This window comes from Homo sapiens, chromosome 18 (genome assembly GCF_000001405.40).
Source record: "Homo sapiens chromosome 18, GRCh38.p14 Primary Assembly".
NCBI classification, from domain to species: domain Eukaryota; kingdom Metazoa; phylum Chordata; class Mammalia; order Primates; family Hominidae; genus Homo; species Homo sapiens.
Window position 1 is genome coordinate 26652361 of NC_000018.10, and position 14903 is coordinate 26667263.

General features: G+C 41.4%; 1 protein-coding gene and 1 long non-coding RNA gene across 2 annotated transcripts in view, besides 2 other annotated features; one reads left to right on the top strand and one right to left on the bottom strand.

Moving 5' to 3' along the window:
* The window catches only part of KCTD1 (potassium channel tetramerization domain containing 1), a 202564-nt gene extending 197451 nt beyond the window's left edge, over positions 1 to 5113 (bottom strand). The window contains exon 1 of the mRNA NM_001258222.3: positions 5000 to 5113. Coding sequence (NP_001245151.1) covers positions 5000 to 5008 — 9 coding nt within the window. The 5' untranslated portion in view covers positions 5009 to 5113. The remainder of the gene's footprint in view (positions 1 to 4999) is intronic.
* LOC102725227 (uncharacterized) overlaps positions 3371 to 14903 on the top strand; it is a 33938-nt gene continuing 22405 nt past the window's right edge. The window contains exon 1 of the long non-coding RNA XR_935311.4: positions 3371 to 3474. This is a non-coding gene — a long non-coding RNA (uncharacterized LOC102725227). The remainder of the gene's footprint in view (positions 3475 to 14903) is intronic.
* Positions 4567 to 4806: a silencer, noted in NCBI's record as "silent region_9379". NCBI's record gives its function as "represses an Ori minimal core promoter by ATAC-STARR-seq in GM12878 lymphoblastoid cells {active_cell/tissue: GM12878}" and the evidence as "EXISTENCE:reporter gene assay evidence [ECO:0000049][PMID:35858748]".
* Positions 4817 to 5006: a silencer, noted in NCBI's record as "silent region_9380". NCBI's record gives its function as "represses an Ori minimal core promoter by ATAC-STARR-seq in GM12878 lymphoblastoid cells {active_cell/tissue: GM12878}" and the evidence as "EXISTENCE:reporter gene assay evidence [ECO:0000049][PMID:35858748]".

The following is a 14903-nucleotide window of genomic DNA, read 5'->3' on the forward strand; positions in this document are numbered from 1 at the left end:
TTGCATTTGTACATCAAACCCCTATGGAGAGAGTGATATTCAAAGTGTCTTCAGTTGAGTGATTTGCATAATTGTGTCAGTTATTTGTATGTAAACGGACTTTTAAAAAGCATCCAACCATTCATTTCATAATCATCTGACATGTTTATAATATTTTAATACAATTAATTTGCACTATAAGGCACAGGTTTGTTTCAGAAGGCTCAACATAGGCCTACTTCAATGATGAATTCCAACTTAGTCAGACTTGGATAAATGGAACCACATGGTACACTTCATAAAGGAAAAGCATTTTGGATAACAGGATAAAAAGAGCCGGCCGATGAGTGCCTGATACACTGTAGGCACTCCAGACCCAATTGTTGAACAAATGGAGGGAGGGATTAAAGAATGACTAGATGCTTTGGTTTCCTTTGTGAATGCTGTTACACCGGATGTGAATGAGGCTTCTCACTGCTACTTAATCTGGCTATTAGAAATGACGTGAAAGATACAAAATCCACCCAGGCTTCAGAATTCCCGCGTCTATTCAATTAACATGCCCGAAACTTAGGTGTCCACTTGACACTTCTCTCTTCTTGTTCACCTATGGCCAACCCTTTATTAGGTTCTGTAAACTTTCCCCTCTACATAGATCTCAAACCCTTCCATCAGTATTTCCCCTACCCTAACCCCAGCTATATCTTCTCTTGCCTGGATGACTATAATAGCCTTCCAAGGGCTATGCTTCATCCATCTGGGTCCCTCTGACCACTTCCCAGAGTGCCAGCAGAGTTATTCTTTCCAAACACCAATCTGATTACTGCTGCCCCTCTCCCAATCCTCCCCATCACTTACTCTTGGGTGAAGACCAGGTGCCTGTCCCTGCAGTCTGCATCACTGCTTCCTCCGTCTCTTACTCCAGCCAGTTAAGCCCTGAGTTCCTCCCCCTTTGCTAAGCCTCTCCTGGCTTGGTAAAATACTGTTCCTTCTTTTTTCTCCCTGGAACTTCGTCTCTGTTCTGTCTCTCTTGCCCAGGCCCCTTCATCCTTTAGATCTCAGTGTGTGGCACTTCTGACCCTGGTCCAGGCCATTTTGGCCCTCTTTAAGTTAATGCTACCAGAACCCCATATTCCTCTTCCTTCAAAGCACTCATCTCTGTCAGTTGTTCAGTTATTCGATGAATGTCTGCCTCTCTGTCTGGACTATAAGCTCCATGAGATTGGAGGCTCTGAATGCTTTTTCTCACCATTGTGTCTCCAGCATTTAACACAGTAGTTCCTATACAGCAAGCACAAATATTTGTTCAATGAATGAATGAATGGACCTAATGAACACAGGCTTATTATGCTTAAAGGATAATCTGTTTTGTTTTCTTCAGTTATCTCAAACCAAACTCATCAACAAGCAAAACATTATTTACATCTAGCATGTTTTTATGAATGAAAAGCCAGAGCGAGTTGTGTCTCACTTCTGCATGAGTAAGCTATTAAAATAAGCATACATGCTTGCATCCAAAAATTTCACTTTTATTCCCAAGATAGTTCGTCCTAAAGATGGAGCAAATAAATGCTCTGTTTGCTTGGGAAATTATAAACTGCAGTCCAAAAGAAGGTTCAGAAATGCAGTTTAATAAACACTAAATAAAAACGTTGGTGAAGTAATGGTTCACAAACATCATTTGAATGACTCAAATGCAATGCAAATGGGAAAAGACCTTAGCTAAAAACATCACATCAGAAGTAGAAAACTATCACTCTGATTCAGAAACATTAAGACAAGAAAGCATTTGTGCAAGCAATTGTTATTGCTAAATGCAGAGCTAAATGGAAGTTTAAGAAAGTTCTCTGATAAAATACATCTGTCACTAATTACTCTTACATTTAAAAACCTAAATTGCTTTGGATAAATAATTTGATGCCAAAAGGTCCATAATGCATTATTCAACGCAAATCGAATAATACGCTTTCATCATCATCTAGTTGAAGTCTTACTGAAGTTACTTTCCTAATACTTAAGTGGCATAATTTGTACAATGATTACTGAAGGCTTCCCCCAAAATAAATATCTCACATCAGAGTAAGTTGAATGGTCGGTAAATCACATTACTTAAGTAAATATGAAACAAGCTATTACTGTGCACCCCTACTATGCAAGCCCTGGCAAAGAATTACAAACACAAAAATCTTACAGCTAGAAGAGAGACATCTAGTGTGTGTTGGAGAACTTTATATATTGTGCTTCAGGCATAATTAATACAGCAAAATCACTGCAGTCGTTTTGCATACTGTGGTGGGAGATTTTTGACAAATATCTTTCACCCTCAATTCATTTCAAAATTTCTTCCCGGCTGTGTGACATTTTTGCCTAATTAGATACCTTCTTCTTAACATAAGCCTAACCCAATGAAGTTTTCTCCGTGATGCAAAGTTTTAAAGTTTCATGGTCACCTTTGCAACCTAATTAGTAAACATTTAACCTACTGTCATCATAACCACTGCTCACAATTCTTTCCATTCAGGCAGCAGCAGGACTCCCGAGTCAAACTGTTGCAGTCAGTGTTTTAGTTTCCTGAATATCAGCCCCTCGTAGTAAGCCAAATGCCACACAAATACAAACACGAGGAATAAATCGGCACACTGCCCATTATCCAGGAGACAAACGGATCCACTGCTATTTTAAATTCACCAAGTAGGCTATTAGTTGCCACAGATTCCCATATATGTAGGTGAATTCCTTGATGCAGAATCAGGTTTAATGAATCATTCTACAGCATCAGCCTCAGCCTTTTAAAATCCTTTATTTTCTCCTTTTCCACATTAAAAACACATTTGAGATATACACAGAAAATGTTTCTCTAAAAAAACGCACACATACACACAAAACAGGAGGTCTCTTAAGGAGTCTACTGCTGAGAAGGTAAAAGCATTTTGCTCATTTTTAATTTGCTAAAACAATCCAAGCATGCTTGGTACCCAGAGGGTATTCTCAAATAAACTTGTATCTCTAGCTGCCAGCTTAGTTGATTGAAAACAGAAGGCAAACGTTTCTTAAAGAATATGTTAAACTGTTATGTCTCCCAGTACCACTCAGGATACACACACACACACACAGACACACACACGCACACATACCGCATAGTCAAGGATTTGCTTGAAAGCAGCCAGTTCTATTATCTAAAAGGTAATACATTTGTACCAAATTACTCCTGCCTACTGCGGTGCACCTTTTAGCGAAGAAGCCAGTGCCACTGGGATCCTGGACAGTTCTGGTGTGCCATTCTCCACGTACAAAGCCAACGGCCCCATTTGCGACTTTGCTAACTTAGTTGGCTTCCGCCCAGCCGAACCCCGAAGCACAGTCACTGAAAACGTTTTGATACCAGAAAATCATTTCCACGACAGTGCAAGTGTTCGAAAGCACAAAGGCAGACTGTCTACCCGCGACAGTTCGCAAGTTGCGGTGGCGGGGCGGCTGTGCGGAGCGCGCGTGCAGGTAAGGGATTCCTGCACCCAGGTCTGCTTTCCTCTTCCTGGATGTTTTGGGGCTCGACCTCACTTTTAACGCGAATTCACCATTACGCGCCCCCCACCCCGTTCTTTTTCCAGGAGGCGCGGACTGTTTTCCAGCCAGGTCCCTCTTGGGGGCGGGAGAGGAAGCACACTTCACATTCAATAAAGAAGGGTGGCGGGAGTGGGTAGGGGGGCGGCGGCAGTTGGGGGGGCGGAGGAGGAAAGAGGTCAGAAAGGAGCCAAACTGAATCCCTCCCGCCCACCTCTGCGCCCCGAGCGCTGGTTCAGACGGCGGAGGCCAGAGGCGGCCGGGAAACTGTCCCTTTAAGGGAACCTAGGCCGCCAGGAGGGGAGGGAAGGATGCGGGCTCCTGACTTGGCGCTGACCGCAGCGCCGGGAAGAGGCGAGCGCAGCAAAGCCACAGCCATTACCTGCAGCGCTCGCATCCTTCCCCCGTCCCAGCGCCGCCCCCACCCCCTCCCCGCCTCCCAAGGAGACTTCTAATCCGGAGCATGTGCTGTGCCCTTTATCCGGGGAGGAGGTGGGGAGGAAGAGGAATAAGAGCTTTTTAAAAATAAATGAAACGTTTGCATCCAAAAGGGGGAGGAGGGCTGGAGATGGGAGGGAGTGGGAGGGGGCTTTAAAGGCGCCTGGGTGGGCGGAGGCGGCGAATCTGGACCAGCCCGGCCGGCGACGAAGAGCGCCGGGCACCGGCCGCGGCCCACAAAGGGGAGCGGCGTGGTCCGGCCCGGGCAAAAGGGGGAAGGAAAAACCGCCCCGGGCCCCAGTCCGCTCGGCCGCCACAATGGCGTCTTTCACGGGGCGTCCGGGGGCGCCGCCGAGGCTGCCTGCGAGAAGGGGGCGGCGGGGCCCCTACCCCCGGCAGGAGCGCAGCCCCGGGCGCCGCCGCCCCCTGCGCGCCCCGCAGAGATGTGCGCTTGGCTCTGGGCGCCCCCGCGGCGCTGGGCGCTCTCGGCGGGGCCGGTTTGCGGGCGCGGAGCTTTGCGCCGGGGAAGAAAGGGACGCGCGGGGCTCGGGGGAGGAGGGAGGGGCTCGGGGAGGGCGGGGGAGAGCCGCGGCGGAGCGGCCGCGGGGAGGCTGGCGCGCGGAGCGGCGGGCGGGCGGCTCTGGCACGGGCTCCCAGAGCCACGGCGGCTCCTCTCCGAGATCCGGAACCCGGCCCAGAGATCCGGAAACCCGGCCCCCGGCCGCGGCCCCTGCTGGCCGCACCCGCTCCTCCTGCCCGCTCTGCTCCGCCCTGCTCTCGCCAGCTCCCACTGGAGGAAGAAAGCCGAGAACCGGGAGCGGCAGCCCCGGAGGAGGCGGCGGCCCCTGCCCCGCCGCGGGTCCAAGCGGATTCCTAGTCGCCCGCCGCGGCGGGCGGCGTGTGTGCGAGTGTGCCGCGCTCTCGCCCCATGCCTGGCACATGCGTAAAAGCGAGTTGCGCCCAAAGTCCCAGCCATACCCTCCTTAGCAAATAATAACAAACCCAAACCGTCAGATCTTACCTGAAACATTGAAGCACAAAGTCTCTCTCCAAGTCCCCTTTTCCTTTTCCTCTCCCCCCTTTTCCGATTTCTCTCCCAGCGATCTGCTCGGCTCGCCACACCAGAGAGAAATGCAATAGCTTGGCTAAGGTAGACAGAACAAAATACAGAGAAGAGTTGCTCCAGGGCTTTGAAACCCCTCAAGGCAAGGATCAGGATACAATTAGCTCATGCCTCTACCTCTAGTCTAAATCAATCTCCAAAATAAAACTTAAATCAAATTAACCGATCACAGGGCAAACAATTGATCTCCTTCAAAAATAAAGCTCTACATATACGTATAGAGAAATATACACATAGGAAATTTTTTTCCAGATTTTTTTTTGGTGGAAAAACAGTCTCATTCCAGCCTCTAACTTGCTTTTTACCCTCCTCTTGCACAGAAAAGCTGATTTTAATCGTTGTGATTAGTTTTGATGTAACGTTTCCGCGGGCGATTTCTGCAAATGGATGGAGTGTTTCTTTGCCAAAAGAGGGAAAAGCAGCAGATGATGATAATTATAAGGATTGTTGGTTGTTTCTTTTTATTTGTGTCTAGGGCTCTCTCTTCACTTTCTCAAGTTGACCTGACATTGCTGTTACACTAAGGTCGCACAACTTGTTGAGGATCATCGCCCTGTCTGATAAAAGGATAGGTGATAATTTGGCAATAGAGCAGCACATTTTTGGTTCCTTTGGCGACATAACGTCCCAAATGACGTGGATAAAAATAAGCACATGCAGTCTGCTTTGCCCCAATCAAGTCTGAATCAGCGCCTGAGGGTGATACACAAACTCATTTCAAATGTTCAACCATGCAGAATTGTAGAAAGATTGAAGGAGTGACACCGCATTTTTTTTAATGGCAAAATTAAAAGAAAACAAAACCCACATTTGGTGTAGCCAAGGACCTACCATTCAGTTTTATTTGATCAACCTTCTGAACACACCTCACCTCCTCCTCCCTTCTCTTTGCTATTCTCCACCTGGTATCTTTTATAGGGGGGGTTGTATAATTCCATTATTTGACGGAAGTGCTCAACAGAGCTCGACAGGCTAACATAAATACATTTCCCCAGATTGTTACTCTGGTTCTGACCTCCCCCACTCCTCATCAGTTCTTCCTCTCTAGGTCTTTGTTCAGGGAGATTGTGCCTGGGCCAGTGGTTATCTTAGTTCTTTTTAGTTAGGGTGGGATATTTGGTTATAAACTCAAGGATCACCTCCCATTACTGTTATATCCTTGTAGGATACTTTTTGAAATGGTATGTTTTTGAGCACTTCACAGTTCATTAATTCAAAGACTTTGCTGACATTTCTTATGGAAAAGATCAGGTTATATGGCCAAGGATGCTAAAGAAAGAAAGTAACCCTAAATAGAACCAGACATGTCCTGCAAATACCTGCAACTGGCAGCATTTCACAGGAAGTATTTTTTAACCATCATTTTTCCTTTAAGGTAAGCAACTGCTGCAATGCCAACAGAAAAGGGAAGGACCGAGCTTTTAAAAAGTAAATAGAGTCAATCAGATTAGTGCATAATACATGAAAGATTAACATCATAATGAGAACCAGGGGTGTTGGCAGATTTTTTTTAATGTAACAAGTTTATATTACATGAGAATCTTTGCACATTCTTTTTCTCTCTATCCCCACACACAAGGTTGATACATTCTCTGATCTACAATAAAAAATTTTAAATGTCCACAAGCCCTAAATTCAATGGAATAAAAACTTTGTTCTTGCCCCTAAATGGCACTAAATGTTAATACAGGAGAGTGTGAGAAGAAAAGAGACTATGGAAGAAATATCCCCAATCACTGATATGATGACTGAACACATTAAAGGTGTGGCCTAAAGTGACTTTTAATTAAAAACAAACAAACAAAAACAATCAAGTGTCACATAGAGAACCATGCATCATTGTCCTAGAATTTTAGAACTGGAAAGATCCTTTGCAGGCATCTAGTCCTTTGGCATCATTTTATAGACGAGGGAAATAGGCAGCTTGCCCAGTGTCAGGAGCCAGCCATTGACAGGGGATCGGCCACAAGAGGCAGGACAAGAAGAAAGGTGAGTGACGTTCCTCTGCAAGCACTGACCCTGCAAAGTTGAGCATAGCATTCTAAATTTTGTTGACATGGCTTGAACCGTACTTTTGAAATTCCCTTTTTGAGATTGTCCTCAAATCCTGTAGCACAATCTTCTAAATATCTTTGATGGCAACAAAGTTTTGATCTTTGATCATTTAACTTTGGAAACAACAACACAAAAATTTATTGCCAGGTCTAGACATTAAGTAGATGAGAAAGATGGCTTATGCTACTTAGAGTCAAAAAAAGAAAATAGGACTAAAAACAGGACAGTTTTCTTATTAGTTCCTAAGAGGAATAAAGACAGTTCTCAAATTTTGAGCAATGAAATTATTACTGGAAAAAGGGCTTTCCTTTTTAAGATAACTGCTCTGAAGGGAATAATATTCATTTCAGTGAATTAAGTTCTGAAATGTACATTTGTAAGACATTTTAATATTCCAGAATGATATCATTTACAAAAAGACGATCTTTTAAAACATTAGGCCATTGAGATTTTAAAGTGATTCAACCTGTTTGGTTGATCTTGAACTTGTAGTAATTCCAGTGGCAAATAGACTGAAGGTAAATTTTCATTCTATTGTGGTGGGGATCTTTATTTTCTTGCATTTCAAAGGGATCTCAAAGTTGAGGCTGTATAAAATATTTTGAAAATTTATTTTGTTCCATGCAATAGAAAGAAATCAGTAAACTTCATGACCTTTAAATCAAGAGTAATGAAAATTTATTTTAAATTTTAAAATAGGCTGTCAGTGAAATAGCATGTGAGAAGTCAGGTTCATATCTTGCCAAGTACGAGATACAAACTTAACAGACTTCAGTCAGCCTCTGCAATCATAAAATGACCTGAAAGTACTTTTGTACTTTTTATCTAATTAATAATCTGCATTTTGGGGTGTCCGTAGCACCTTTTTCTCCATCTTTAAGAAATTCGGAAAAAGAGTATATTAAAAATCCATCTAACTTCCTTTTTTTTTCGTAAATAACTGGTATGAGACCAGCAGCCTAACAACCATTAGCCACACGGAAGACAATGGCAATAAAATTGTCAGCAAGAAAACAATCAAGAAGAAAACTGGTTTCTTTCTGTTTTCATCTTCCAGGGTCTCACTGTCAAAATAAGTTCTACCACTTTTTAAACGCAGAAAAAACCAAGATAGGATATTTTGAATTGAAACTAGCAGCTCAGCTGAAAAAGGTTTGCACTACGACGGTTGTGGAAGAGAAAACGAGATGTTCTTGGAGGGGAGCAGCAGCCTCCCTTCTAATGTTAGCATGGGAAAGCACATTTGGTTGCATCACAGTCACTGAACCCTCAGAGTGCAAGTTGCCACAGAACAGCACGGTTTTGTCCAGGGTAGCCCTGTGGTACATTCTTGGCGGTGATTTGACAAGATCTGGACATTAGCTGCTGAGATGAAATGTGAAATTGCAGAGCCCTCCACTGAAGCAGTCAGACACTCAGATCAAATTTTAAAATCCCATTGCACTTTCCATCAGGAAGAAGAGAGATGCCTCAGTGCTTGGGCTCAACCTGGGTGTGCATAGATACCACTAGCTGTGGTGAGGCTGCCACAGTTTCCCCTACCTGGTCACTAAACAACAGCATTTCCATCATTGCTCCAGCGGAATCCACCTGTGACTACCATGAGAGGCCCTGCTGCATGGGAAGGCTAATTATATTGTTTTATTTTATCCCTGGGTCAGTTTTTTTTGTGGGAAAATCACCTGGTTATTATCAGCCAACCTGAAACCCCCTATAATGCTGCGGAATGTGCACATTTTCCTGGAGTTGAATAGAAGTATTAATGAGCTCTAACAAAATGGGTTTGTGATTCCTGGAGTTTGGCCCCAGCCACCACCTGTTTATAATTAGCCTCTGGAAAACCTATTAGTTTCCTGTATCACTGTCAATATTGACTTTGTAATATCTCATCTTCTGAGAAGGTAAATCTTCTAATAGTTGCAGATACACCAATGGGCATATTTCTGAAACAGAAATACATACCAAGTCCTTGTATTGAGACCCTTAAATCAATGTGGTCTCTCTTTTTTTTTTTTGGAGGTGGAACCTTGCTCTGTTGCCCAGGCTGGAGTACAGTGGCACTATCTTGGCTCACTGAAACCTCTGCCTCCCAGATTCAAGCGATTCTCCTGCCTCAGCCTCCCCAGTAGCTGGGATTACAGGCATGCGCCACCATGCCTGGCTAATTTTTGTATTATTATTATTATTAATGTTTTAGTAGAGATGGGGTTTCACCATGTTGGCCAGGCTGGTCTTGAACTCCTGACCTCAGGTGATCCACCCACCTCAGCCTCCCAAAGTGCTGGGATTACAGGCGTGAGCCACCGTGCCTGGCCCATGGCCCAATGTGGTCTTTTATCAAAGTTTCTTCTCTGGTTGTCTAATACGAACACTAGTTATAATCGCACATTGTAAAACAATACAGATGTATGAAGAAATAAAACCCGACTATGATTGGATACCCTGACACCTGTTTTTGATAGTCTTATTCAGTTGAGAAATCTGTTTGTCCACAAGGAGGTAGATGTGTGGAGAAAGTTGTGAAGCATCTGTATTCATTACTGGCATTTGAAATTCTTTGCTGGATACTTACCTTCTATATTTTAAATAAATAATTGCAAGTAGGTTTTATGACTCTAGTTGAGTTACAATAGTAATTCTGCCACCTTAACTTGTGGTGTTACCTGATCCTTAGTTTTTTTAGCCATACAATATGAATGAAAATATCTATTTTGAAGGGTTATTTTGAGGTTAAATGGGATAATATATGGAAAGTGTCTAGAACTGAGCCTAGCACACAGTCAGTTCTCAATAAATGATAGCAACTATTATCATTTTGGTTTATAGTAGCTGAATAAGTCACATGGTCTCTAGTGTTTAACAGCATAGAAGAAGGATACCTTTGCAATAGGAGTACTAATTTATCAACATCTCTGTGGCTAATCTTTTTAAAAGATAATAACTAAATCTTGTTTTATTATTTCATCTAGAAATTACATGGACATCTCACTTTGTCACATGTAAAATAATGGGGTGAAATGAGATTTTCTCCAAGGTAAATCCTAGCTATGAAAAATCATATGTTTGTGATGCTGCTTACTAGTGAACACACCTTCTTTTTGTTCCATTGAGGATCCTTGATTTTGACAAGACTGCCTCACACATATAAAACAATTAATTAAGCATTATGTATAATTGCTCGTGTAAGAAGTGGTACTTGACTAGAATTCTGCCATGAACCTCTTTCTTCCTAATTATTTGCTTTTTGCCTTTCAGGAGTTACAAAATCAGTATAAGCAAGCACTTCACAAACAAAATTTAAAAAAAAGAAAATGCAGTTTTCAAAATAGGAAGAAATAAACTTCAGGGCTGATTGAAATCTCTAAGAAAGAGTTCAATCAATCAATCATATCATACCATCCTATTTTCTACATTCTCCAGTTTATGTATTAAATATATTCTTTGCTAAGCTTCAGACCTTATCATTTTCAGATTATTCCATGTAATCTGTTAGGCTATCCATTTTAAAGCTAGTGGCTTTTTAAAGAAATGCAGTGGCTGTTTTAAAGAAACATTTTTAATAAGATATGCATTTCCTTATATATTTTGTACTAGTTCATATTCCAGTGCCTCCTAGTAAACTCTCTGGCGCTGAAAGTTACTTCTGTTTGCAGTGTAATGTGTCACATGCACAGCCCATCCGGTACAGAACCACTTAGCTTTGCTTCACTGTTCTACTGTCTGAACCAAGGCCATTCATGAGAAACCCCATAATACAATTGCGGCACCTCCGGGGCACCATATACATTTATGTAAGTTATCTCTTTTTGCATCCTTTGGGTGTCAGAACCTCTCAGCTTTGCTAACCATAAAAAGTCCGCCTTAAGCATATTACTAACTTTAAAACTCTAATGATATGGATGACATATTTCAATTTTTAAGAAACCTTTCCCTGCTCCACCCCTGAAAAAATCCAATAAAACTTATCCAGTGGAATCATGCTATGGTTAAACATATAAAATGTATTTAAAAGAAAAAGAATTGTGAATATGCTATAGCCAACCTCCCCCCACCAAAAAAAAAAAAAAAAACACAAAAAACAAAAACCACACACACACACACACACGCGTGCACACACACACCCCCAAAGATCAAGAACAACAAAAATATCTTGTCAATAAGTAATAATTAAACAAGAAACAAGGCCAGGTGCAGTGGCCCATGCCTGTAATCCCAGCAATTTGGGAGCCAAGGCAGGTGGATCACCTGAGGTCAGGAGTTCGAGACCAGCCTGGCCAACATGGTGAACCCGTCTCTACTAAAAATATGAAAAATAGCTGGGCATGGTGGCAGATGCCTGTAATCCCAGCTACTTGGGAGAGTGAGGCAGGAAAATCACTTGAACCTGGGAGGCAGAGATTGCAGTGAGCCAAGATCACCCCACTGCATTGCAGCCAGGAGAGAACAAGACTCTCGCTCAAAAAACAAACAAAAAACAAAAACACAAAGAAAAAAGAAAAAGAAACAAAGTATTAACTCTAACTCTGGCAAGAGCCGCTGTAAACAAATTGCTGCTGATACCAAGAATCTTTGCACTTTCTTTAAAGTTATCAGGAGAGAAAGCAGTTTCTAGGGTCTTAATGAGTATTAGCCTGATCAGTTAAAATGTGCACTGGGAGATGGGGAGCAAATCAACAGGACTATTCGGTATGGACGTTTAAATGATTTCAACATTACTTTTACTAATAACATTAATAATAGTAGTGATAAGAAACAATGATGACTGATGGTACAAAACTTCCATTGTGTAAAGACCATCTGGTTATGAGAGTCAGACATGAAAATCTGAAATTAAATCCTCAATCTGTCCCTCTAAGGTTGCTTTGTACATAATGAATATCTTAATTTTTAAAAAAGGAAAAAGAAATTGATTGTACCAAACGTACAGCAGCTCCTGCTGAGAAAACAAAGTTGGTGTGTCTATTTCTTTTCTAATTGTAGATGTCCCTAAACAAAACAAAGCCTCTGTGAAAGAGCTTGCAGATAATGGTAGTAACTCATCAGCCTTTTATCTTGTTTCTTTGTGTCTGAAGATTTTCACAGATAAAGCATTATTATACTCCTATTATTCATTATTTCCCCAAGGCAAGGGCAAGCATTACTGCAGGTTTTCTTCCTATAGTAAAGCCTACTTAAAGATGTCTTTTGGGGGGAGAAGAAGCTAAACCTTGGGTCTTCTACAACAAATACATAGTTTAAAACTTATCTTTATGTAGTAAAGACAGATATCAAAGAGAAAGCATCTAACTCAGAACCCAGAAGATGGCCAGTATTCATACATATTTGTTATTTTAGTTTTATTGATCATACCCAGGGTTTAACTCTTTCTAACTTTTGGATTTTCTGGCAATATCAAAATAGAGTGGAGATAGAAGGACAAATATCGTGTGATTCCATTTATGTAGGGTACTTAGGATAGTCAAATTCATAAAGTTAGAAGGTAGAATAGTATTTACCTGGGGTTGGGGAGAGGAAAGAATGGGGAGCTGTTGTTTAAGGGGTACAGAGTTTCAATTTGGGAAGATGAAAAAGATCTGTACGTGGATGGTGGTGATGGTTGGACAACAACGTGAGATGTACTTAATGCCAGTGAACTGTACACTTAAAAATCATTAAAATGGAAAATTTTATATATTTTTTGGCACAATTAAAAATGAGTAAAATATACAAATATTAAACTCTAAGAAACAGGTGAGAGGAAAAAAGTACAATACGGTAAAAAACAAAGCAAGGCATCTAGTTCTCTGATTCTCTCCATAATTAGTGTTACATCTGAGTTACACCTGGTCACGATGGCCCATAAAGAAGTGGGGCAGAAACCCCAGGACCTTGTGTTGACCACATGGTCAATGTGTTGATCACATTGAAGACCCAGCGTGAGTGGGAGCTGGGTCTGATCACCATTCTTTGTCCGGCACAGCTAAAATGCCCCATTCATTGCAGATTCCTTCACTGTGGTATAAAAACTTGGATATTCTGAGCCAAATCAAATCACTGGAAATTGCTAAATGGTGTGTCTGGATACTTGAAATTATGTAGGCAAAATAGCCTGGTGTTTGACAATATTTTAGACATGTCCTATGTGTTTGTCATTGTGTAGATGTGAACTTGTACGTGAAAATACAAAATTTACAACAGCTTGCAGATTCATAAAATAATGAACTGGTTATTTAGAATCGTGAAACAAAAACCTGTTTTTACTTTTTTTTTTTTTTTTTTTGAGGTTTGGATTGGGTTAGAGGTAGCTAAAGCCTTGATTTTCTTTCGTAATTTCTGTGGCCATCTAGAGATGCCTGTTGTGTCCATTTAGCCTAAATAGCTACCTCTGGTCTCATTGTACTTGCTACAGTTTTATTGGTGCTCTTTTATTTTCTGAAAATAGAGTTCTTTTTGTTGTTGTTGTTGTTGTTGTTGTTGTTGTTGTTCTGGAAATAATAGCAAGAGAACCTTTTAGATTTTAAAGAGTAAAAACACATTTTTCTCTGCTTTCTTCATTTCCTATAAGGGTGCCACTCTCTGATTTTAAAATCTATTCAACCTGAAAACTGACCTCTATCTGCAGTTCATCTTTGATTATATTTTGTGAATTATTTGTAAGGAAGATTGGTGCTGATGGCAGAGTGGCCTGTCATAATCATATTTAGAGGTATGCCTTTTCTAAATACTGGGTTATTCAACTCATCCTCCCTGAACTGTGTCTTCGTTCTCTTAGAAATGCATCAGTGCAAAAGAACTGAGGTTTTTCCTTGTGCTTGATCTAGAAAGAACTAACCCTATGATAGAAACTTAAGAAAAAATGTAAAATTGATAATAAATAAATTAAAGGACAAACACAAGCCCAAGCAGTCTGCTTCTTTGCAGGTTTATAGGTAGTAGGATTGGGGTTAGGTGGTGGAGAAGGTGTAAAACCACTCTCCCTTTTCTTCTTTGAATTCATGGACATCACAAGTTCTCATTGTCATTCCTGGAAGAACCAGAAAGTAAACTAAGATGATAATGTTACTCTCCACTTTTAGACAACATATTAAGTTTCAAAGCATCATGACACAGTTTTGAGTCTATATTTTAATCTCTGATATATTTAGCCTTAGCTAGCGCTGACATTATTTTACCTAGTCCTGGTATTTTCCTGTGGTAACGTTCCTATTTTCTAACACTCCTTATTCAGACAGAGACAATGAGAAGTTGTATTTGTACAATTTACCAAACACTCACCTTCACTGCTTCATTTTATTCTTTTACCCAGGGTTGTTAATCTAATTTTATTGAAGATGAGGAAAGAGAAAGAATGACTTCCCTAAAGTCATATAGCAGAGGAGAAAGAGCCTTCGTCTGACTCCAGGACCAGCACTTTTTGTAGCAGAGGAAACCTTGCATTTGTGTTATTCCTAACCAGTTGTCTTGCTCTCAAGTCCCTCTTTTCTATATCCATCTCTGGCTTCCTAGACAAAAAACAGGCTCTTATAGGAAGCATATGTAAACGAAAACAGTGAATAAACTTTTCAAATAATTTGTTCTGTCGCAAAAGTCAGTAAATAAAACAGGAGACATCAAATCAGCCAATTTCTTTATCCATGGGATATCAAGCTCCTTGTTTGAAGGAAGAAACTAATGACTTTCTCCTTCCTCTCCTCCTCCTCCTTCTTTCTCTTTCCCTTTTCTATGAAGACTCTGACTCTTGTAGTTGTTCTGATGTCATACCCGTGGG